Source organism: Homo sapiens, chromosome X, assembly GCF_000001405.40.
Source record: "Homo sapiens chromosome X, GRCh38.p14 Primary Assembly".
Lineage (NCBI taxonomy): Eukaryota > Metazoa > Chordata > Mammalia > Primates > Hominidae > Homo > Homo sapiens.
The window spans coordinates 27,571,719-27,598,889 of NC_000023.11; the positions used below are offsets into that span (position 1 = coordinate 27,571,719).

At 37.0% G+C, this 27,171-nt stretch overlaps 1 protein-coding gene across 9 annotated transcripts in view; it reads left to right on the forward strand.

Annotated features, from left to right (window-relative positions):
• Positions 1-27,171, forward strand: part of DCAF8L2 (DDB1 and CUL4 associated factor 8 like 2) — a 281,002-nt gene that overhangs the window by 102,778 nt on the left and 151,053 nt on the right. For 8 of the 9 annotated variants that reach the window (NR_148432.2, XM_024452371.2, XM_024452373.2 and 5 more), the window contains exon 1: positions 18,626-18,722. The exons of the other annotated variant lie outside the window; for it this stretch is intronic. The gene's annotated coding sequence lies outside the window, so the exon portion shown is untranslated. Of the gene's footprint in view, positions 1-18,625; positions 18,723-27,171 lie in introns of those variants that run through there. 9 annotated transcript variants of the gene reach the window in all.

The window sequence follows — 27,171 nt, forward strand, 5'->3', positions numbered from 1 at the left end:
ATTACCACCTCCTCTTGAAGTCCAGAGCTGCCATAATAAGAAATCCAACTATCCTGTTGGGAAAACACATGCAAAGACTACATAGATATGGAGAGAGACCCAGCTGAGCCCAGCTTTTCAGTGATCCTGCCAAGTTGGTAGCATGTGAGTGAAGCCATCTTGAATCCCCCAAACTAGTCCACACACCCGCTAAATAAGATGGATTGGTCAACCCGCTAAATAAGATGGATTGGTCATATCAGTGCTATGTAGAGGAGAAAAATTGTCTCACCAAGCCCTGCCCAATTTCTCGACCTATAATATTGTAAGAGATAATAAATTGTTTTAGTAAGTCACTAGTTGTGTAATTATTTTTGTAGCCATCAATAACTAGAAGAAGGAAACACAATCCCCTTTTCTTTCACATTACTACTTTTTCTGTATGCTCCTCAGTATTCCTTTAACCTGTAAGTGTCCTTGAGTACTCTGGTTAATTGTTTGTGGCTGTGGCTATAGCTTCTGGGGTTAATGTAGAGGGTCTGATTGTTATCATACAGTCAAGCAATTCTAAGTATTTTTCCAATAATTTTTCCAAGTATTTTCCAGGCTTCTTGTCCACCATAGTTAGCTCAGCCAGGGACACCGGGAAAGACCAAAATGCTAAACAGGGCAATTTCGTCTCTTTATGGCAGTTTCTGCTATTTTTGTTTTGAAGCCCTTTGCTTCCATGTGAGAAGTATGACCACACCATGCTATAGAGACCATGTGGAGTTAAAATGCAATTTTTTCATCATCATAGGATAAATAAGAGTTCTGCCACAACCTGTTTTTAGTAAAAAGGTAAGTCTTATGTTTCATATCTTTATGTGAAAGAATGATTCCTGATTTAGTTTTCTTACAAGAATAAAGCTACAGTGTTGTGATGGAGAAGGTTGTCGGACATGTGCAGGAGGGAAAAGGGCAGAAATGGAGTATAGCCCAGTATTTCTTAGCCCATTCATATGGGTCAGTGAATACTGATTCATAATTCTCAGGGTACTGAGACACAGACCTATTTATTAAGAGTCCTGTGACATGTCACTGGTAGTAACCCTTCTCTTCTTTCTCCGTGGCTTGTCTACTTAGACCTTCCACTTTGGTTACATTTTCTGAAAAAATTTTGTGAGTCTCAAAGCATGATCTGAATAAGCAGGTTACATACTGCGTTATTTCTAATCAATGAAAAAGACTAAGTTCTCCTAGAATGATCTTCCTCTATTGGGATCAATCTTTCCCAGTGTTACTACATCAGAAGTAGGGTCTTATTTCCTATTGGTTTACTTGTCTAAGGTCAGGAAAGCAAAAGATTTGGTTCCTATGGACCCAACTTGAAAAAAAAAATTTTAGAAATATGTAAATATAGCTACCAACACACTTTCAGCATCACAAGTCACGAGTACAAGATTATTTTCACTTAATTACCCCAAACATGGTTGATATCTGTACTCTTTGCCCATTTCTTAAGGTGTTAAAATAAAAGAACAGGTATTTAAGAAATCTCTCTCTCTCTCTCTCTCTCACACACACACACACACACACACACACACGGAGAGAGACATACACAAACATCAGCAGGTAGAGTGACAGTGACAGGGGACAGTTGATGTGAATTTCTCAGTGTTTTAATCCACTCTCTTAAGCTGGCCTCTGGCTACTCAGAGAGTATTTCTGGTAGAATGACAGCAATGTTGCCCTAGCTGAGGAACACATTTGAAGCCAATCTTTAGGCCCTGGATGAATAAATATATGGCTAGGATTATGGAAATGCCTGCTCAGGGTCTGCAGATCTAGTAACCAAAAAGTCATCAAGAGCAGATCAGTTAAGCCATTGGTGACAGAAGATAGAGGATGTTTGAAAATGAAGCAATCTTTAGGCTTTCTTAAACTAGGGGAATAGATTTTCACCAACCCTTGAACTTTTAAAATACAGCATGTAGGAGATGCATTGGAGTGAGGGAAACACATTTGGAAAGGACCCCAGTCACTGCATTTCAGGAATCAGCAAGCGCTAAGATATTCTTAGCCTGGGAGGGCTATTTGAACCTTGGGTCACCTAAGGGTATGTATGCTAAACGTTGTATTACATAATTATTGGAGACTATGCACTTCTTTCTCTCTCTCTCTCTCTCTTTTTTTTTTTTATAGCTGTGGTCTCACTAAATTGTCCAGGCTGGTCTCAAATTACTGAGTTTAAGTAATCTTCCTGACTCAGCCTCCTGAGTAGCTGAGACTACAAGTGCATGCCACCATGCCAGGCTAATTTTTAAAATTTTTATAGTAACAAGGTCTCCCTGTGTTGTCCAGGCTGATCTTGAACTCCTAGCCTCAAGTGATTTTTTTTTTTGTCTCAGCGTCCTGAGTAGCTGGAACTACACACATGAGCCACCATGCCTGGCTTCAGTGGGCTTCCTGAGGAGCCAATAGGTTGGTATAAAGAACCTTTTAGCTCAAGAGAGAATATGAGGTAGATTTTGAAAAATCTACTCATGGTCATGTTACATATCGACAGTACAGGAAGAACAAATATGGGCATGTGGCAGCAGCAAAATCTCCCTGAATCTAAAGCTGCAACTTTAAGGCCCTGAACTTGCCTGACTTTTCCAAGGCCCATGAGAGCTTATAGCAATGTGTTCACATGACCATGTGTTTTATACAGTTTGCAAATTAAGGTTATTTTATGCAGTTCACTGTTTCTTTCCAGTGTAACATGTCTTCCTGTTACATTTTCCTTCTCTCAGGTGCCACTGGTGTGGCCAAAGAAACTTTTGAGATATGGCTAAGGTGAAGGTGAATTGAAAAACATTTACTTTGGGTTTACTGTGATACATGTTTGTGGTTTTTAGTCATGTCCAAGTAAAGTTATTTCTAGCCATCCCATGTAGTGTAGCAATGGCTTCCAAGAAAACTTCTATAGTCCACTGTTCTGACCGATTTAGTGTTGTGACAGGTATATGCAGGACCAGAGGTCTTACTGAAATGGGAAATTTTCCCTTGTCCCTCTCGCAGGTGTGCGATGGGGGTCTGGCTCGCTTTTTCAGTGCCCCGCTGCTCAAACTTCTAGGGGAGCATATAGATGGGCAGGCTGTGAGGCTCCGACCTCACGGCAATGTCTAAGGGTGAATGTTTACTGCTCCTGAAGCCCCAATGGGTATGTGTTACAGGGTGCTCTTTTAGGCGGCTTGTGTTAAGCAGCTCAGTTAGACCCTCTACCTTGTAGCAAGGACAGAGGGCTTTCTGTATCCTTGGCTCTTGCCTTGCTATGCCGGATGAATCGGATCACGCGTGGGCTTGGAGAAAGAGTGCAAAGTGTTATTGAGTGGAAGTAGCTCTCAGGCGATGGAGGAACCAAAAGAGAGATAGTTTTCCCCTGGAGTTGGGGCACTCGACGGCCCCGGCTCTCCTCTGACTGCTCCAGCCAGGCCAAACTTGGCCTCATCCCTCTGGTTGATGGCCTGCTGGCATGCCAGCATCTGTCGTTGTGCTTTTCCACCAACGTGCTCCCTCGATGTCCTCTCATCGTCCAGCCATTTGTGTCTTCTTCCGCTGATGTGCTCATCTCGATGTCTGGCCACCTGTGTGTCTGCCTGCTAGGGTCTCGGGTTTTTACAGGCCCAGGATGGGGGTGTGGAGGGCCAGAGTTGTCTTGGAAAATGCAACATTTGGGCTCGAAAGTAGGAGTGCCTATCCTCACCTAGGTCAGTGGAGGTGGAGTCCTAGCCAGGGACTATGCCTTCCTCTACCCAGCACTTCCCTGTCCACCCCCATATCACTTAAAGGGACCACACTCTTCCCTTCCCAGCACTCCCGTATCATTACTGTGATATAAATGTGCTCTAAAGAACTTAGCATTGAAGGCTTGTGGATATGGGAAGAGAAGCAAGATTTGAAATATATGAAGCCAGGAGCTAGTCTTTGGGAAGTTCTACCACTTATGAGTCATAAAACATTGTAATGGGAGATTTGGTTTCCATTGAAGCTTGTCAAAGCAGAAATTCCAGTCAGAAATGTATTTGGTAATATAGTACATGCCATTATATATGTATCATGCTTTGTTTTTTCCTGTTTTCATGGGATTCATGTATAAAGGAATTTATCTGAACTAGGTTGGTGGTGGTGAGTGGGACCTGTAACATCACCAACAGCTAGTAATGTTTGGAAAGTTGCATGCTTTATGTATTCAATACACTGGATTGTACCTTAATATTATCCATTCTGATGAAACAGCAAAGCATCTTGAATTTGTTGGAACAAATTCTGAAAGATCTGGGTGAAACAGTACACAAAATTGCCACAAGCACAGCAACAAGTAAAAAACAAGTGTTCTATTGACAATGCACCTAATACATCTTCATTAATAAGTCAAAGTATGTGTAGTAATTTGATTACCCATTAATTTAGTTCAATGCAATGTAGCTGCAATTTTAAAATGCATTTGAATTGTTCATCTGTGGCTTTTTCCTTCAAAAATATATAACGTATTCAACTTGTCTAATGTATTGCTATTAGTAATTCCAGGTACCAATAGTAGAAGGTACAGAGAAATTGGATATGCAGGGTTAAAGACACAGTTCAACTTGAGTCTTACCAGCTGTGTGAACTTGGGCAAGTCATGGAACCATTTGGACCTATCTTCATTTACCTCTAGATTGGAAATAACATTTTTTCTACTCATACATCCGGCTATATTAAGAGAAATGTGGTACAATATTTATTACAAGTATTTGTGCACTGAAAAGTGCTATGCAGTATTAATACTAAGTCTTTAGTGGTGATGGTTTAAAAAGGAAAACATTATCTCATTTTATGTAACCCCTGGATTATCCTCCACATCTGGAAAACCTGGCTATATTTTATCTCAGCAAAAAATAATCACTGTAGGTTTATTTTTCAACACAAAATTTTAAAATTTACCTCAAATAAGCCAGTGCAAAAATATAGAAAGAAAAAAACTTTTAAAAACCTTACTGCATTAATAGTGAGTTATAAAAAGTAATTTCTGGGGAAATAGCAATTAGGTTGGCTTCCTGGTTATATTAAAAATACATTAAGCTTATTCAAAATGGCTTTATATAAAGAAATAAACTGTCCATTATGAGGAAATAGTGATTTTTCTACGTAACATTGAACTCAAACTATCTATTATATCTCAACTATTTGAATATTATGTCAGAGCTCTGTGAAAAGTGACAAATGACATTGTGACATATAAGCATATTAACAGAGAAAACTGGCTGCTAGAAGGCTCTCACCCAGTGGAAATTTCTTAATACATTTATCATGATCTCCATTTAGAAACTGCTTTAGTGTTGATCAGACGTAGGGATGTTGGTCCATGCTATGCAACTCCCAGGATATTTCAGGGTAAATCTGAATACTGATCTATTAATTTGCAACGAGAAATACAAATGTCAAGCTAACTGGAGAATCAGGTCAGCCAGACCAGCAGATATCCTCCCTGTGGAAAAACTCCAAAGGAAGTCAATTACAATTAGAAAAGCCTAGTGAGGGAGTTAGTTGGATGACTCAAATATGATGGTACAAAGCAGCTATGTCTCTTGGTATTGCCAGCCAATAGCAGGGTCACAGTGAACCTTCTGTAAATCTTTGCTAAATCAAAGAAAAGTTTACGGAGTTGTGCCTGACAGAGGGACCAAATAGAAGAACATATTGGCTCTGCATTCTTCCTTCCCCTGGAAAATGTGGAGACAAAATGCTAACTTGCAAATGTTAGGATTACTACATAATATAATAAAAACATTAAAAGCAAGATTTATATGTAAATATTAAAGACATAAAATAGGAATTGAGGAAGGTAATTAATAACTTCATAAATTAGAGAAAGGGCATTCAAATAAGAAGAGAGGAAGTCAAACTGTCTCTGCTTTTAGATGACATGATCTTAATCTAGAAAACCCTGTCGTCTTAGGCCAAAAGCTTCTTAAGCTGATAAGCAACTTCAGCAAAGTCTCAGGATACAAAATCAGTGTGCAAAAATCACAAGCATTCCTACATACCAACAGTATACAAGCCAAGAGGGAAATATGAATGAACTCCTCTTCACAATTGCTACAAAGATAATAAAATACCTAGGAATACAGCTAACAAGGGAAGCAAAGGACTTTCTCAAGGAGAACTACAAACTGCTGCTCAAGAAAATCAGAGAGGACTCAAGTAAATGGAAAAACATTCCATGTTCATGGATAGGAAGAATCAACATCATGAAAATGGTCATACTGCCCAAAGTAATTTATAGATTCAGTGCTACTCCCATTAAACTACCATTGACATTCTTTAGAGAATTACAAAAAACAACTACTTTAAAATTAATATGGAACCACAACAGAGCCTGTATAGCCAAGACAATCCTAAGCAAACAGAACAAAACTGGAGGCATCAAGCTACCTGACTTCAAACTATACTGCAAGGTTTGGTTACTACAGTAACCAAAACAGCATGGTACTGGTACAAAATCAGGTACATAGGCTAATTGAACAGAATAAGGATCTCAGAAATAAGACTGCACATCTACAACAATCTGATCTCTGACAAACCTGACAAAAACAAGTAATGGAGAAAGGATTCCCTATTTAATAAATGGTGCTGGGAGAACTGGCTAGCCATATGCAGAAAATTGAAACTGGACCCCTTCCTTATACCTTATACAAAAATTAACCCAAGATGGATTTAAGACTTACACATAAAAGCCAAAACTATAAAAACCCTAGAAGAAAATCCAGGCAATACCATTTATAAGCATGGGCAAAGATTTCATGAAGAAAATATCAAAAGCAATTGCAAGAAAAGCCAAAATTGACAAGTGGGATCTAATTAACCTAAAGAGCTTCTACACAGCAAGAGAAATTATCATCAGAGTGAACAGGCAACCTACAGAAAAGGAGAAAATTTTTGCAATCTATCCATCTGACAAATGTCTAATAGCTGGAATTCACAAGGAACTTAAACAAATTGACAAGAAAAAAACAACCCCATTAAAAAGTGGGCAAGGGGAATGAACAGACACTTCTCAAAAGAAGACCTTTATGTGACCAACAAACGTATGAAAAAAAGCTCAACATCACTGATAATTAGAGAAATGCAAATCAAAACCACAATGAGATACCACCTCACACCAGTCAGAATGGCAATTATTAAAATGTCAAAAAAAAAAAAAACAGATGCTGGTGAGGCTGTGGAGAAATAGGAACACTTTTACACTGTTGGTGGGAATGTAAATTAGTTCAATCATTGTGGAAGACAGTGGCGATTCCTCAATGACCTAGAACCAGAAATATCTTTTGACAAAGCAATCCCATTACTGGGTATAATACCCCAAAGAATACAAATCATTCTATTATAAAGATATGTGTACATGTATGTTCATTGCAGCACTATTCACAATAGCAAAGACATGAAATCAACCCAAATGCTCATCAATGATAGACTGGATAAAGAAAATGTGATACATATACACCATGGAATACTATGCAGCCATAGAAAGGAACAAGATAATGTCCTTTGTAGAGACATGGATGGAGCTGGAAGCCATTATCCTCAGCAGATGAATACAGGGACAGAAAACCAAGCACTGCATGTTTTCACCTATAAGTGGTAGCTGAACAATGAGAACACATTAACACAGGGAGGGAAACAACACACATTGGCGCCTGTTGGGGGTGTAGGGGGAGGGAGAGTATCAGGATAAATAGCTAATGCATGTGGGGCTTAATACCTGGGTGATGGGTTGATAGGTGCTGCAAACCACCATGGCACATGTTTACCTGTGTAACAAACCTGCATGTCCTGCACATGTACCCCAGAACTTAAAATAAAATAAAAAAGAAACTGCTATTTGCCTATTTGGATGTAGTTTCAGAGAAATACACACACACACACACACACACACACACACACACACACACACACACAAATATACCAAAACAGACTGAATACCCAAAGTACTCCTCTCTTTTCAGACTTTCTATCTGTGAGGCTATATTTTATTCATATACATCAGCTAAAGCTATACATTGCACCAGCTTAAATGCAGAAGCAAATGTGAAGTTCCAGCTGTTTTCTACAGAGCCAGATGTAGAGATTTTTAAAAATATAAAGCAGTGCCCTCTTCTCACTAATTTTTCTTTTAATATAGTTATTTTAAAGATGATATAATTATTATATTAAATAATATAGTTAATATTTCTTATAAAATATATTATAAATATATTAAATGGGTTTGTAAGTATCATTTTAAATGAATTGATACTTAAATGTTTTTTTAAAATCACTCACTTTTAGTTTCTAATATGCTAACTATAGTTTGTTATAATCCACATTAATAAAAGCTTTTTTGGGTCTTCAGTAATTTTGACCAGAGTACAGGAGTCATGAGAGCAAAGAGTTTGCTAATGACTAATCTAGGACTCAAGTGAGGTGTATTAATTATGGCTTGTTAGATTTAAATGTCTTTTCCTTACAAGGCCCTTGTCACAGAAGGGCTAAGTCGTGTCAAGTGAAAGGAGCAAGAGAGGGTTGGTTAATCAGGACTATCTGTGCCCTGGTTTCAATGGGGAAAAAGACAGGCAATGAGATGGGTATGTTTTTTGCCTCATTTGGATTGAGAGCAGTAAGGAAGATGAGGTTTAAACACAGAGAAGAGTAAAGCTATTTCCCCCTTCTGCTCCTTTTGTCCCAGAGCCCCCAGAAACTGGGTGAGTCTAGTAGAAGTGACGGAATCTTTTAAGAGACATTCAAACATAATTCTGTGCTGGACACTGAAAAAGACAAACAAAAAAAGTGCCATATAAAGTCTGTCAATCCCTAGGGGCCAGATTATCCCGTGCCCTGAAGGACTGCCAGGGTACATAATCAGATACATTAGCAACGGCTTCAACATGTTCTTCTAGAACATCATGTCTTTGAATTAAGGGCTTAATACATAATTGATGAACACTTCAGTTCTGAGGTGAAAAGGTGGTTCCAGTGGAAATTTAAAAGGAAATATAAATGTTAGAATAAATATTAAAAAGAAATGTTAGAGTTTTACTGATAGAACCCTTTAATGCTGTTAAAAATACTGTTTTCCTACCTAGCTCTCTTTCATTTTCTACACCAGTGCTATCCAATATAAATATAATACAGCCATAAATAAAATGTGAACCACGGAAATAGTTTTAAATTTACTAGTAGTCACATTTTAGAAAGTAAAATCATTAGTGAAATTAATTTTTTTATCAACACAATATATCCAGAATATTATGGTTCCAATGTGTAATCAATATAAAAATTCATAAAACATTTTGCACTCTTTTTTTCATAGTAAGTCTTCAAATATGGTATGTATTTTATACTTACAACATAATTCAATGACTAACCACATTTCAAATGTTCAGTGACCTTATACGGCTTATGGCAAACATATTGGGCAACTCAGTTCTATACAGCCATAATTTCAGATGTCCATCAGCAGCATTAACTTGGGAACCTAGAAGTACTCTTCATGTTTTTTATTGTTTTCATTTTCTTGCTTCTCACAGTGCTAACAAAATACATAGATGTCAAAATTCTCAGTTTTACTTTCCTCTCTGCTGGGTATATTAGGTTAGCACTAGCAGTGATTCTTGGATTTTAATATCTCTGTTTCCATGTGTTGTGTAAATACAAGTATTAAAGTGACTTTTTCTAATATATCTTTACTTGGGAATTAAATATCACTGCTTCCTCTATTAGTTGATTCTGGGTATTTTCATTTGTTGAGGCCTCCGTGATAAAATGGTACTGCCTTTCTCCAAAGTAAAAGCTGCTGTTCCATTTGTTCTATTAGTTTTCTTGTTCTAGCAGCTTGGATTTAATACAATTTTTTTTTTTTTTTTGAGACAGGGTCTTTGTCGCCCAGGCTGGAGTGCAGTGGCACCATCTTGGCTCACTGCAGCCCCCACCTCCCGGGTTCAAGTGATTCTCCTACCTCACCTTGGGAGTAGCTAAGACTACAGGCACCGGCCACCATGCCCGGCTAATTTTTGTATTTTTTGGTAGAGATGGGGTTTCGCCATGTTGGCCAGGCTTGTCTCAAACTCCTGACCTCAAGTGATCCGCCCACCTCGGCATCCCAAAGTGCAGGGATTACAGGCGTGAGCCGCTGTGCCTGGCTGGATTTAATACACTTTTAAATTTAATATTTGACTTAGATTTTCTGTTCTGAAATAAATTATTGGGAAAGACGTGGGTTTATTTTATTTTGAGTCACTGGTCTAATTTTAAAAGATGTAGTTGTTCACTTGAAGTAGTACTCTAGGATTTAGGTAATTTTCTTTCATTATTTTATTTATTCATTCATTCCAAAATTGTTTATTGAGGTCACTATGTTTCAGGCAATGACTGTCTTTGCTTCCTTTCCTACCATGAAGAATCAATTATATTTTTGAATTGTTAATTCTTATCTAATTTCATGCTTACAGAATACTTGCAAAAAAAGTACAATTCCCAAATATCTCTCATCTAGCTTTTCCTAAAGTTAACATTTTACATAATAATGACCAAAAACAGTAAATTAATATTGGTACAATACTATTCACTGAACTATACATAGTATTCAAATTTCACCAATTTTTCCACTAATGGCCCCTTTTCTTTTTCAGGATCCAATGTACTATCCCATATTTTATTTAGTTGTTGTGTCTCTTCATCTCCTCCAATGTCTGGCAGTTCTTCAGTCTTCCCTTGTTTTTTATAATCTCGGTACTAATGATACATACTGGTTAGTTCTTTTATAGCTGGCCCTCAGTTTGGGTTTCTCAGATGTTTTTTCATGATTTGAATGAAGTTATGCACTTTTGGCAAGAATACCACAAACATGATATTGTGCCTCAGAAGTGCATCACATCAGTGGGGCTCATTATATCAACATTTCTTATGAATACTTCTTATGAATATTTCTGCCTGAGTTTTGAATCCCATTATTTTTCACCCTTTCACAGTCAGGGATATTGTGCTCTCTTTGATGTGCCTCTCACCCTCAGTAACTTCAATCTCTAAGTATCGTTTGATTCCTCCAAGTAGCATCCCAATTGTGCTCAATAATCCCATATTTTAAAAAAATTACATAACCATGATATCAACATGGTTATGTTAACCATGATCATTTGGTTAAGGTAGTTTTTGCCAGGTTTCTCCACTGTAAAGTTAAGATCTTTCTGTAGTTAGTAACTATTTTTTGTGGAGATATTTTGAGTCTATGCAAATTCTGTTTCTCATCAAACTTCACTTACTATTTTTAGTATTCATTATTGGATCTCGTCTGTAGCAATTATTACTGTGGTGTGTGCTTAAAAGTGAATTTTCTATTTCTCTTTTTCTTTCTATGCCTTCTTCCCTATTTATTTATTTACTTGGTGATTTATTTATATCCAGATAGACTTCTGGGTATTCATTTTCTCCTGTAGGTTAAAATCCAGTGCTATCATTTTTGTGTGTGTGCACAAATGGTTCTGTCTTTGGCAGATTCAGTTAGGATCTTTTTAAAGGTTGGCTACTATGTTCTTTCAACAATCCCCCGTTCCCTTTTGTTCATTTTGTTACTTCATAATGTCACAAGATTTTCAAGACTCATCTTGTATTTTTCCTATTTCAGCCCTAGAATCACTTGCTTTTCCAAGGATACCTAGTTCCTTTTGTTGTGGGATGGTGTTTAGAAACCAAGATCTGGACAATTTTAAGCTGTTGTTTCTTTACCCTCTTTTTGGGCCCTCTCAGTGGGAAAAGCTAGGAAATGAAGTCTTGCTTTCAAATTGTGTGCCTGGCCCTCTGAATCTGGGGTCCCTAAGCCCCGGGCCATGGACTGTTACCCTTCCATGGTCTGTTAGGAACCAGGCTGCACCTGCACAGCAGGAGGTGAGCGGTAGGTGAGCGAGCTTTACTGCCTGAACTCCACCTCCTGTTAGATTAGCGTTAGATTCTCATTGGAGCACAAACCCTATTGTGAACTGTGCATATGAGGGATCTGGGTTGCACGCTCCTTACGAGAATGTAATGCCTTCCCAATCCCCCAACCACCTTGCTCCAGTCCATGGAAAAATTGTCTTCCATGAAACCGATCCCTGGTGCTAAAATGGTTGAGGAGTGCTGCTCTAAATAATATCTGGCTCTTTAAGTTGTGTATACATTAAAATTCTTTCCATGTAGCCAGTAACATTTTTAAATATTTTGTCCCTGTATGTTAAGTATGGATCTGTAAAGACCCCAAACCTCTAGGAACTCAGTGATCTACATTCTCTGTGCTTGCACTATAGCAGCTGAGTATCCTTGAAAAAGCATCCAACATTGTAAGTTGGCTTCATTACAGATTTATGATTACCAACTTTAAATTGCTTGGTAATCTTACTACATTTTTTCTGAGTAACTCATTCTTCATGTATTCGCATCAATCATTTAAAACCACAGCTTTCTCATCTTCTGCCTTGTTATCAGCAAAAGATACTATTTGCTACTTCATGAAGACAATAGAACCTTTGAGTAGCCTACATTTCAACTTCATTTCACCAAACAGAAAATCAAGTCTGTTTATACACACACACACACACATATACACACACCATTTCCTCCTCCTAAGTTGAATACTTCTGCCTGACTATTGAATCCCATTATTATTCACCCTTTCACAGATTCAGGGATATTCTGCTGTCTTTGATGCGCCTCTCATATTCAATAACTTCAATCTCTACATATTGCTTGATTCCTCCAAATAGCATCTGAATATGCTCAATAATCCCATATTTAAAAAAAACACTATCTCATATGCCTCTCCAATTCCTACTCAAAATAACTCTTATTACTAAAGTTTTGAAATACATTGTTTGCACTACACTAGTAATCTTTAGAATTTTGAGTTTTATATAAACAGTAAATGTTCAAAAAGAAAACTCAGACACCAACTTCATTTGAAAAATTATTCTATGTAAGGAAGTTAAATACACAGGCACTCACATGTGCACAGACCCACACATGTCCAATATGCTATTGTCATTTCATAAAAAGAATTAACATAAAAATGGTATCGTTCTATAATTGGAATCACTTTAGCTGAGTGGTTCTTAATGAGGAATGATTTTGCCCCTCAAGGAGCATTTGGCAATATCTGGAGACATTTTTGTTTGTCACGCTGAGCAGAATGTGCTACTAATATCTAATGGATAGAGGTCAAGGATAGTGATAAACTTATTACAATGCACAAGACAGCCTCCTACAGTACATAATTATCCAGTGTAAAACGGTGATAGTATTGAGGTTGAGAACCCTGGTGAACTTTATGAAAAACAATATTGTTTTTTTTTTCAATTATTTGAGGTGAACTAAAAAATATATAGAAGAGCATTTGGCAAACCCTGGTTTACTTTTATTGTCTCTTCTTCCTCGTGTCTCCTTCATGCCAAATCTAGCTCTTACTATTTCATCGTCTATGAAACTGCTCTCATAATAGCCCCCCATAATCTTAATTTCATGGAGTTTTATGGCTTTATTTTAGTCCTAATCTTACTTGTAGTCTCAGTCTTAATATTGTCCATCATATCACTCTTGTGAAATCAATTTTGTTCCTTGGAATCCAAGACAGCTCACCTCTTAACTGTCTACTACACCACTGCATGTACATCCATATCTTCTATGGGTTCCCCATTCTTATTGTCTACTGATTCTGTATTGGTAGTGTTTCCCAGATTGTCCTAGATTCCCTTTTCTTCTCACTCATACTCCATCAGCATCTACATTAACTCCCATGGTTTCCACCACCATCTAAATTTTGATGCCTCACAAGTCAAAATCACAAGTGCTGAACCCTTTCCTGGGCCTCAAGCCCTGTCATGTTTTACCTCTATAGAAGGGATATTTCTGTTTAAGTATCACAGAAGCACATGAAACTCAACATGAGCAATACTCAAACTCCTTCTCTGCCAAATCTAGTAGATTTTATTTATTTTGCCTGTTATATAGCTACCAAATCCCCAATTACCAGTACTCTGGTGCAGGGTCTCATTATCACTCTCACCTGTATTTATCACTGTTTCAATTTAAATGGTCCTTGTGGTTCTTACCTTCCCACTTCCCATCTTCACCCCTTTAGTGAACTCTCAGTAAGAAAACCTCTCATTGGCTTCTGTTACCTTTAAGGAAGCCAATATAAAGCCATTATAAAATGTTTTATATCTCTTCATGTGACATGAAAGGCCTCTTATGATCTCATGCTTACTTATTATTTAATCTTATTTTCTATCAGTGCTCATCCACTAACACACACCATCAGGGTATCTTTGGTTGCTCAAATAAACCTCATTTTCCCCTCTCCACAGGCCTTTGCATGTGCTGTCCCTCAGCCTGGAACACTCTATTCAGCTCCAAACTCCACTGCTAACAGAGTCCACCCTCCTTTTATCTTATTTCACCCCCCACTCCAAGTAGTGACAAGGTTGTAGAACAAATGACACTGTTATATATTGCTGGAAAGAGTGTAATTTGGGACAAACGTGTTTAGATCTGTTAGGTAGTATCTACTAAAGTTGAACATATGTGTACTGCAACTGGGTCATAGGTATATATATATATGTTCAGTTTTATAAAAACCCAGCGTCAGTATTTATGTCTGTCACCTAAAGGTAGTAATAAGATTGTTCATAGTATTAAGTTGATGCGAATGTGGTTGTGGTTTTTGCCATTACTTTTAATGCAAAAAATGCAATTACTTTTGCACCAACATAATGGTATGGTTTATTCACTCCTCTATTATCCACTGGACAGCAATTCCTCCAGGATAGCTTTTCTGACATGCCACCCATTCTCACATCCTGGCTCACTTTATTATCCTGCCGTGTCCTTTCATAATTAACGTGCTTTCCTGAAATTGCTTGTTAAATTGTATGCCTGTTTATACTGTCTGTTCTTTGAAGGTGAGGAGTGTATTAGTATTATTTGTGGTTTTATTCTCACTTTTCACCTTTGCTCTTGGTGCTAAAAAGGAGGGTTGAAAAAAATACCAAGTTTTAGATGGTTTAAATTCCTGGTTTTAGCAACCAGGAATAGAATATATTCCTGCAGATCATGGGGAGTTTGTTTCTAGACAATTTAACCTTAACATGATGATGGCCTGTCCTGTTCTAATTGCTCTTTCCTGGACATGACATTCAAACTTGCCATTAAATATTTCTTGAGCTTTTGGAAATATCATTTGATTTCCATGTTCTTAATGACCTGTGTTTCAAGATTTTTTTTTATTTTCAACTTTATCTTTTCCGAAACCTAATTAAATCACATAATAAAAACATGTACTTATCACTATCACCACACCATAAAACCCTGAATTAAACTTTTTAAAATGTCTTGCCAACAGAAAAAAAAATTGAAAATTATGTTATTTAAATATCTATGAAGGATTTTTAATAATAACCTGTTCACATGCTTTCCTTATATTAAAATACATAGTTACATTTAAAGAAATATGTAGTACATACTTGCAAAATCCTTAGAAAAGTGTCAATAAAAGAACCATACAAGAAGTTCCTTTTTACTGTGTTTATTGCTTTCATTTTAGAGAGAATATAAGAGGTGAAATGCAAGATACTATGGGTTGTAACGTAGCAACAATAAAGATAAAATCATAAAAGAGAATGTTTGGCTTGGCTTTTGAAGAAAGAATTAGTAGGCCCCTGGGGTGGTTTTCAATATACTCTTCACCTTAAATATTTTGTATCTCTTGGTATTTTTCTCTTTTACACATTCAGTTCAGTTCATTTATACATTACGGAATATACATTGAAATGTTATAGTTAAAATGTAGACATAAAGGGACATGCAAATAACTTAGAATACTTTGATTTTATTAGGATGCACAATATTGTTGGAAAACTAACACTCAGGGATCCAAAATTGAACTAATATATGAAGGAATATATAACAAGAGGCTAGTTAGTGGGTTGACAAACTGACTTCCCCAAAGGGACTTCAGTATATGTACTGCTTTTTCACTGTGGTCAAAATCACAGGTTAAAATAAGAAGTAGTTTGAAATTCCTACCCACACAATGTGTTACTAAGGGCAGTGGATAAATCTTGAAAATATGGGGTCTACCCCTCTCCCCATTCATCCAGCATGTCCTTAGGGCCCTCAGTCGTATAACTAGTCAGCAAAGCACTATGTGCTCTGGGAGAATTTGGGAAACCCAAACTATTCTATTACTGAAGTGACTTCAGTACTTCCATTAAAAAAAAAAATATATATATATATATATATATATATATATAATTTCAAAGTTTATTTTAGATTCAGGGCGTCTATGTGCAGGTTTGTTACATGGGTATATTGCATGATGCTGAGGTTTGAAATACAAATGATCCCGTCACCCAGGTAGCGAACATAGTCCTCAATAATTAGTTTTTCAACCCTTGCTCCCTCGGTCCCCAGTATCTATTTTCGCCATCTTTATGTCCACTAGTACTCAATGTTTAGCTCCCACTTATAAGTGAGAAGGTACGGCATTTGGTTTTCTGTTCCTGCATTAATTCACTTAGGATAATGGCCTCCAGCTGCATTCATGTTGCTGCAAAGGACACGATTTCTATCTTTTTTGTGGCTGCATAGTATTTCATGGTGTGTACGTACCACTTTATTAAATCTACTGCTGATGGACATCTAGGTTCCCTCCATGTCTTTGTTACTGTGAATAGTAATGCAATGAACATAGGGTGCAGGTAGAACAATTTATTTTCTTTTGCGTATGTACCCAGTAATGAGATTGCTTGGTTGAATGGCAGTTCTGTTTTAAGCTCTTTGAGGAATCTCCAAACTGTTTTCCACAGTGGCTGAACTAATTTACATTCCTATAAACAATGTATAAACCTTCCCTTTTATCTGCAGCCTCACCAGCATATGTTGTTTTTTTACTTTTTAACAGTAGCCATTCTGACAGGTGTGAGACCAGTAGAAAAAGGCATTATGAGAAGTACTATTTTAAACTACCTGAAAGAGCAACTTACACACCAATGCATATAAACTATGATTTGTGGAAGTAAGTGGAGATGGGGAAGAGGAGTTCATTGAATTCATCCCTCCCCACCAACCAGCTTCTAAGACAATATAACCTGTTATTCCCATTTACACACACCGAGAATGAGTTTATTGAAATAACTTATAGAAATGACTTAAGTAATATAAAACACATCACACATTTTATCTGTATGTTGAATATCAAAATTGAGATTCCTAGAAAATTCTTATTTTCAAAAGTATATACCCAGATTACTTGTAAGCATTGGAAAGACAATGGCTAATCACTCACATTTTGGAAATGAAAGAAATTACCTCAATCAGGACAAGTTCTTAGTGTCACTCATTTAGTGGTAGAGATCCATGATAGAGAATGCAATTCTCAGACCAAAGATTATGGTTGGTTCCTTAACTATGCCTTGAATATACTAAACAACTTCCCATTTATCAGCTGGAGAACTTACAATGTTATAGAGTGGTCATGGGCTTAAGAAAATGTTTACAGAGAGGTTATATATTGTATTAGAAAGCTGTTTATCAGGCCATGAATGTGCTATCCACAGAGAAACTATGTTTTGTGGATATGGGAAGGAAAGGAGTAAATAAGGCAAATGCATTGCAAGAAAGAATTTGGAGAATAAATGTAGCAAGCACTTACCATGTAGGCCCAGCCTTGGATATGGTGAAATGAATATTATTTTGAATTAATTAAATTTATTTGCTACATACCATATTTAATCAGCTTCATAGCTTCATACCATCTTATATATTTTTCTGGAAATTTTATATCCTGTGGGGAAACATGAAAGATCAATTTACCAAACAGAAAGAAATTATCAAGTCACTATGTCTAGAAACATTTTATTTGAATTTTATCTTCCCATGATTTGCACATAAAAAAGGAAGGAAGAAGATTGATTTTGCAAGTTTTCCAAAAAACTAAACTTGGCTCTAAGTAATGTTGGATTTGACAGAAATGAAAGTATTTTAATCAAAATGTCATATATTAAAAGAATAAACCATGTGTGTAAATTCAAAACTTTGATTCTTACTCCTTTCCCCCTTTCAATTAAATTGAACCTGTAGAGCACATAAAGGACAAACTAAGCAAAGTTGCTCCTGAACTGATGATATTACCATATCTACCATTAGTAATATTTCTTTAACATTTATATTCTGCCTCTTCACTTTCCAGACTGAATCACTGTAAAAATAGGTGTGAACTGCATGGACATGAGCAGTGCTTTTCTTGAAAGCAATGATTAGTTAAAGAAATCCAGAAATCAATATCTTTCTCAAAAGCAACTGGTAGAAGACAAATCCCAAACAATTACTGGAATCCAAGAAGAAAATGAATTAATTTAGGTTTTTTTTCTACAAGTACTAGAAACTGTAAGGTCCTATTATCAAAATTAGATTAGGATGGAACTAGAGAGCCACAACTTTAGCCACAAACTTTCAAAATATCCTGCCTCTGGACCATGGAGCGCTTGATAAAATGGTGCATTTGGATACTTTACTTGCTTACAGCGTGGGAAAGACTCACGTAAACTGCAATAAGAACCATGAGAGATAGTTTTGTTCTGTGGAGTCGCAAAAGCTGAACATCCTCCCCACAAGGTTATTTAGAAGACGTCTTGCACTGTTCAAATGCAGAGGAAGGCGAATGACTCGAGTCTATGGTATGTAATCAATATTTTGATTTCAACAATGATTTTGGGAGTGGGGTTAATTTTTAATTGCAGAGATCTTTCTAGTATGAAGACAACTGGATTCATCCCTCTGTGATTGAAAGTTACCTTAAATAATACTGAGCGGAAATAGTCTTGTTTCTTAATTTTACAGAAAATTTTACAGTTGCCTGGGGCACAATATGAGAAATCTTACTTGTTTTTCTCTTTTTAAACACAATGCTGCACTTCTAGTAAAGTATATTCTCACCAGAACTTTCTAATACATTGATATGAAAATATTCCTACACTATCTCAAATATTAAGACGGAATAGAGATAATTCATCTTATAATGTTAGACCTACATAGCACCATAATAAATTCATATTTTTAAAATTGAAATGGGGTCTTGCTTTGTTGCCCAGGCTAGTCTCGAACTCCTGGCCTCAAGCTATCCTCCCACCTCAGCCTTCCAAAGAGCTGGGATTACAGGTATGAGCCACCACACTTTGCCAGCACCATAACACATTTATGTTAAATGTTTATAAAAGCCTTTACATTTTATATATATATATATATATATATAAATAAATAATTTGATAGGTTACATTACATTTTATAAAATACTTTATCATATAAGCATACCAGTAGGACTATATTTGGTATATCATAAATGCTGGGGGTTTTTCTTCATCCTGAATTTGAAAATACATGTACTGGTGTGTGATTCAACTTATTTAATTCAAATAGGAAAAGAAAAGTTTTTCAAAAAATGTTTGCTAGGCTTAGCTATTTGCCAATAACATTTGGGTGGGGTAATTTGTGTGTGTGTTAGTATCCAGCAGGCTACAGAAAGTTTAGCATAGCAGCTACCCAATCCCATAAATGCAATAACACTTTCCAGATACTATGATAACCAAAACCTCCCACATTTTCAATTCCCTGATCATCCTCTTTTACCCCATTGAGGAGACTGGCTTAGAACAGTGGTTTACAGAATTATGATGCTCTCTACATTTATAAAAATAAGGCAGTAAGTTGTTGCTTCTCCCCCTTCCCTCTACCTCTCTCTCCCTCTTCCCTTCTCTCTCCCCACTCTCCTTTTCATCTTGTTAGAAACTGCTATTGAAAGCGTAGTAATAAACAAACATCTTTCTTTCATGGTATCTTATAGGTAGCAAAGTTCTTTTATATGTATTATTTTATTTTATCATTATAATATCTATATCTGGAAAGCAGAGCATACATTATATTTCTCTGCATACAGGTAAAAAACAATAAACGAAGGCTCAGGGAAGTTAAGAAACTGTATCATACCGTAGTGATGCTGGAAAGTGTCTTGTTCTTGTTTAGATTAGTCTTTTTAACTATGTCTGACTGAAATGTTAACATGTTCCCTGTCTTTAAGAAGACAATAGTTTAAGTGGGAAGAAAATTTCAATCAACATAGCTTAAATCCTAACTTTCAGTATGCAGACACACTAATATTAACTACAGGAAAATGCTCCCAAATGTACAGCACAGCCTGGTTGTCGTCCATCCTGCCATCGCTGCTTTTGTCCCATTTGAAGTGAACGCAGTGCTGCCCTCCTGGCAGGTCCTGGCACAGCAGCTTCACCACCCACCGGGTCCCCTCACACCAGTGGCTGCTGACCACCGTGGTGAGAGAGAAGGCGAGGGCGATGCAGATGGGTAGGAGGAGTAGCGCCTGCTGCTGCCTGGCCCCGTCCAGGGCTGAGTGAGGTGCGTGGGGCAGGATGAGCTGTGGGGCCCCCTCCTCCTGCCTCGTCATAGTACCTGGGCCTCAGCTCTGCCATCTGGCATCCTCACACAGCCTCCTTTCACGTCCCCCTGGGGAACTGCATGTGCTGCCGCACCACATCCAGAGGCATGGAGCCGGGGCACGTTCCTGTCAAGGGTGCTGGCCCTGCCATTCTCCCCAGGAGGTAGGTGTGCAGGAGAGCATTGTTTTTTTTTGTTTGTTTTTGTTTTTTTTTTTTTTGGTTTATTTATTTATTTATTTTGAGACAGAGTTTCGCTCTTGTTGCCCAGGCTGGAGTGCAATGGCATGATCTTGGCTCACCGCAACCTCCGCCTCCTGGGTTCAAGCGATTCCCCTGCCTCAGCCTCCTGAGTAGCTGGGACTACAGGGGCATGTCACCATGACAGGATAATTTTTTTGTATTTTAGTAGAGATGGAGTTTCAACCTTGTTGGCCAGTATGGTCTCGATCTCCTGACCTCGTGATCTGCCCGCCTCAGCCTCCCAAAGTGCTGGGATTACAGGTGTGAGCCACCACCGCATCTGGCCAGTGGGCATTGTTTTTTAATTGTGGTAAAACACACACATAACATGAAATTAACCATCTCAACCTTTTTTTTTTTTTTGAGACAGAGTTTCACTCTGTTGCCCAGGCTGGGGTGCAGTGGCACAGTCTTGGCTCACTGCAACCTCCACTTCCCAGGTTCAAGCGATTCTCCCACCTCAGCCTCTCAAGTAGCTGGGATTACAGGTGCCCGCCACCACACCCAGCTAATTTTTGTATTTTTAGTAGAGACGGGGTTTCACCATATTGGCCAGGCTGGTCTCAAACTCCTGACCTCAGGTGATCCACCTGCCTCGGCCTCCCAGAGTGCTGGAATGACAGGCATGAGCCACCGTGCCCAGCCATCTCAACCATTTTTAAGCGCATAGTTCAGTGGCATTAACTACGCTCACAGTGTTGTGCAACCATCACCACCATCCACCTCCAGAACTCTTTTCATCTTTCATCATCTGTACCCGTCACACAACTCCCTTTGCCCTTCCTCCCACCCTTGGCAACCACCATTCTTCTCTCTGACTTTATGAATTTGACTATTCTAGGTGCTTCCTATAAGTGGACTCATACAGTGTCTGTCCCTTTGTGACTTGCTTACTTCACTTAGCATAATGTCCTCAAGCTTCATGCATGTCATAGCATGTGTCAGGATGTCCTTCCTTTTTCAAGGCAGAATAATATTCCCTGTGTTTACTGGATCACATTTTGTTTATCTATTCAGACATCTGGGTTGCTTCCACCTTTTGGTTGTTGTGGAGTGTGCTGGTTTTGATGGAAGACCAGGGGCTGTTAGGGTGGCTGTCTTGGTGAGGCAGCCTCACACTTGCCTTTTGCATGGAGCAGGGTCCTCAGTGTTGGATTCCAGAATCAGGGAATCCCGAGGACTTCATAGGCCTATTGCTTGTCCAGGCCTATGTAGAGAAGGACTACAGAAAACAGATGCTTGCTCCAGGGACCCTGGGCGATGCGAGGTACAGGCAGGCTGCCTCAGGGCCAAGGTGCTGTGCAGAATGGAGAGAGCGGCATGTATCCCACTTGGGTGCAGAGTTCTGAGGCAAGGGACCTCAGATGCTAGAAGACAGAACCCTGGGCTCCATCACTCATGTTAATGGTTTAATACTGACTAATTGCTAAAGGTAACAAAATGTGTAAAATGGTGCTACCATTTATTCATTAAAAAAGCTTGAAAGCCTGTTATTTGTTGGGTGCTTAGCTAGACGCAGACATTACTGCACATAAGAAATACCTTAAATTTTTTTATAATAAAGTCACTTGAAATGTCAAAATATAAGTGCATAGATTTGTCAAAGGTCAGAAGGGAAGTAGAAAGAAAAGAAAGTAGTTTCAAACTTATTGTAATGAAACCTCATGTGTATCCACCATGTTTAAAACTGATATATTTTTAGTATTAATGTATAAGTACACATCTATAACTTTTTTTACAAAGTCAGGCAATAAAATATAGGGTTATTCTGATAAAAATAACTTACAAAATTGGCATAAAGGATAACAATTGCAGTCAGTTTATCATTCTAGCTCCATAATTCAGCATTTTTCTGAGTTTTATTTTGGCTAAATGATTTTAAGAAAATAAAATTCATATAGATAAGACATGACAAATGGTATCAGTCATTTTGTAGCTTATTTTTAAATTTTAATATGTTCTTTACTCAGAATCTTGAAAGAATACTGAGAATATATATATATACGTACAGACTCTCACACCTAATTAGATTAAAATGGCTAACAATTTAGCATATTCTTCAGTGCATACTATCAGTAAATACCTTTCTAAATCAAATAAAATTATTTTTGGTAGAAAATTATCAAATGTATACGTTAACTCTTTGAGATATTCAAAAATTTCCTTAAGAGAAAATGAGGATAATCTAAGTACCAGTTACTGTTAATATTTGCTAAAAAATTTCTAAATAGTCATATTTACTTTGTCTTGCTTATAAAACCTATAATTTAATTGTAGTTTCATTTGGTCACGTTCTCCAAAGTTGTAATATGGTAACATCAATAACAGGGCAAGCATTTTAAATTTAAATATTTAGGTCAATTTCAAAGTAAAATACAAAGCAACCTATACTTACAATTATGACTAAAATGATGTACCATGCAATATTATTATAATTTACTTTTTTATATGTACTTAAAATACATATAGTTTACTATGTATTTATTTGACAGTTAACAGCATATGATGCAATTTTTCACTCTCTCTTAGTTTAAAATTTTTCTTCACTTGGCTTCCAGGACAACACTTTCTCTTGGTTTTCCTCTGATCACATGAATGCTCTTTCTTAGGCTCTATTTCTCTATTCTCCTCCTATTCTTGATTCCAACAATCAGAAAGCTCCAGGACTCAGTCTTCAGGCCTCTTTTCTCCATATTTACTCAGTCCCTCACTGATCACATCAAGCTTCCTGGCCTCAAATACCATCTACATGTTGATGACTGGCAAAGTTACAATGCAATATAGGTCGCTCATTAGAATGCTAGATTCTTTCTGTCTATTTTTTATTTCCTTTTGGAAGTCTAATAGACACTTTAAAAAAAGCAGCATGGCCAACTCCAAACTCGATTTTTGCCAATCCTCTTCTCTAGTCATTCTCATCTCAGTTAATGGTAATTCCATCATTTTAGTCAGACTCTAAATTTTGGAATTAGCCCTGACCATCTCGAATGTTCTCCCCAGAGATATCTATGTTTCACTGCATTGCTACAGATTTCTGCTCAACTTTCATGTAAGAGCAACCCTTTCTGATTTCCTTAGATTTGCTCCTCATTCATTTCCTGTCATAACTCCATTTCATTTTCTTTATTATATATAAATTCATGTGTTTCATAATTTATTATGCTTCCCTCTCTTAGCATGTAAGATGTAATCAGACAAAAACAGGAGCTTTGTCTTTTTAGTTCAGGGTTGTAGCCTCAAGTTTAGAACACTGCTTTAAAAATGTTCCTTGAGGCCGAGTGCGGTGGCTCATGCCTGTAATCCCAGCATGTTGGGAGGCTGAGGCGGGTGGATCACCTGAGGTAAGGAGTTTGAGAACAGCCTGGCCAACATGGTGAAACACCATCTCTACTGAAACAAACAAACAAACAAACAAACAAAACAAAAATTAGCTGGGCATGGTGGTGCGTGCCTGTAGTCCCAGCTACTCGGGAGGCTGAGGCAGGAGGATCATTGAACCCAGGAAGCAGAGGTTGCAGGGAGGTGAGATTGTGCCATGGCACCCCAGCCTGTGCAACAGCGAGACTCCATCTCCAAAAAAACAAAACAAAACAAAAACAAACAAAAAAAGGTTCTTGAACACAGAAATCATTTGAATGAAGACATAATATTGTGGGGTTTTTTGAAATTTGTAAAAAAGTTAATTTGTAAACTAATTTTTCTTCCATTATACTTTGAAGATTTTAAGTTTTAATAATGTTTATTTTGTTGAGAGCAGGATTTATTTTCCTACTGATTTTACTCTCCAGAATTAGGATTCCGTATTTTCATTATGAATACAGGAAGGCAGATGTATGGTTAAGACAGGTAAGAGAGCAATATTCTAGAGAAATTCGTATCCCTTAACTCTTTCAAAATGAAAGACTACATTAATTTACATATCGTCTGAATATGAAAAGGCCTAGAGGTGGTGAGAAGATAATTAAAACCTAGATCTGACAGGCTTGTAGAAGAACAAAGCAATTCTTGTTAAATTACTATATCATTGTAGTCTGGAGGGGTTAGAGATCTTGATATGATTATTAATATACACACATTTGATCTGTTTTAGCAATTACATTGTATAACGGGTGAAAAACAATATATTTGCTATGAAAAAGTTCACCTAGCAGCCTTCCAAATTTAGCAGTCATAGAATTATCTCTGATAACAAAGATTAAATTAAGAAGGTCTGAACTAATACATGAGAAGAATCCCATAAAAACAATTATATTCATTAGTAATGAACTGTCATTACCATCTAAACTTGTGTACAAAAATTAAATATTCAAGTTAATTTTTTGAGTATCAATATTATTATGGACATTATTTATCAATTGGGATATGTCTCTTATTTTTAATCCTTTTTAAACATTGTTTTCAGTGACATTATATATAGGAAATATTTTAAGATTTTCTTATACCATTGGTTCTAAAATCAATGCACAAATAATCTTATCAACAACAATTTTTTTGGCAGCTAAAATAATTGTATTTGTTTTCTGTTGTTATTAGAAAAGTGCTCTTGGAACATTTTTGTGAGCATAAGTGCTAAGTCTAAATGTCTTTGCAAAGAATACTCACTGAAGGCCATTTGGATTTGGAGTTAACATGAAATATTTTTACTGACTTTCACATATGTAAAATAAATATTATCTAAGAGCTTATTACAATGATGATTATATATAAATATTTGTTTAAAATCATATACATTTTACAATGTATTTAAACTGGTGGAAGAAATTCCTTCTAACTTTTTAGCAGATATAGGAAGGGAAAAATAACATGGAGCATTCACATGAACAGAACTTAAAAATTCTGAATTTTCAATTCTGATTTATTCCTAACTGTATATTGCTGATGACTTTTCCTTGTGGTGCTTGTAGATTTCTTTTGAGCATCGGTTTCACTGTTTCACTCAGTAGTCAATTTATAAGGAATATTATGTAAAATGTGACAGATTAAAATCAGGCCAAATGTTAAAGCTGGGTAAAAAGGCCAAAATAAATATAAAAATTATGTCTGGGAGGCATTATAGTGTGATTTACTTAGTAATGGAGAGAAGTAAACTATGAAAAGGAAAACAGCTATAAAAGTAATGAATGTTTTACTGAAAACATAAGGTGTTTTCTCCTCCCATTTTCATACCATGGAAACAAACTGACTCTCAATGAGAATGAATCGCATTCCATTTTAGACTGATGAACAATACAATTCTTTATGCAGTACACCATCAAGCTGTGGAATTCAATTCTGCAATATATCACTGTGGTAAATAGTTTAGCAAAACCCAGGAAAGCATTAAATGTTGCTATGAATAAGAATGACATTTACAGCCACGCTACTTAGGTCAGAAAGTTTGAAGGGCTCTCAGCCCTCTAGCAATGGTGCATAAGGAGAATTTGTGTGAAGGTCAGAAAGTAGTATTCTCTCCTCTGACATTATTTTATATTGCTCATGCATTATGGCAAGTTTATGTGACTCTTTCTCAAAGCTGGGATTTAAGGGTATGTACTTGATTCTAAAAACAAACCTTCAAATATTCAAATTATAAATCTTATTTTCATATAAATTATTAATTATACTATCAATGACTGCAAAAATTGTACAAGGTATACTCAAAGAAAAATAAAATATTCTCCCTATGGAGGAGTAAATGAATTGGAAAATTTGAAGGATGTAGGAATTAGAGAAGGTGGAAATGGCTGAAAAGAACAATATACTTTGGCTGAAAAAATATTTCCTTCTAAAACAACAAACTTCAATCATAAAAAAGTCAGTGTGACACTGTTACATTGAAGGGGGAATTATGAATTTTATAAGTATAATGGTCGAAAAATTTATTCTTTTTCTTGAAGGTAGAATGTAATATAACCCCCCCCACCCAACCCCCCCGAGGGGATGGGGCGGGTTAAGAGAGAACATTAGCTGCTTATCCCTCCTCTACGCCCAGAGAGGCTTATCTATGTTCCATTGTTCTACATTCCTTGAGGCACAGTGAGTTCTTGCTTCCCCCGCTAGCCGGGCTGTAAAGTCACAAGGTTGATAAGCAATTGCTACAAAAGCATGTATTCCCAAGGTTGTAAGACATATGGTGTAACAAATGTAAAAGAGTAAATAACTGCCTTTGTTCTCGCTTCTGCAAGTACGCTTCCTGCATGCAGCACGTAACCCTTGCCACAAACTGCTTAAAAGGTGACTGATCCCTTTGTTCGGGGCTCAGACTTTCTGGACCCTAGTCCAACTGAGCCAGTGATCACCTTAATAATTAAAGGTTCTCCTTAACTCTGCTCGGTATCTCCCATCTCTGATTTATCCTGCAACAACATAACTACCTTGGTAATTATTAATAATTCCTGATTTGCTGATGATTATCAGAAAAATGAAAGATAAGTGTTGGTAAGGATGTGGAGAAAGG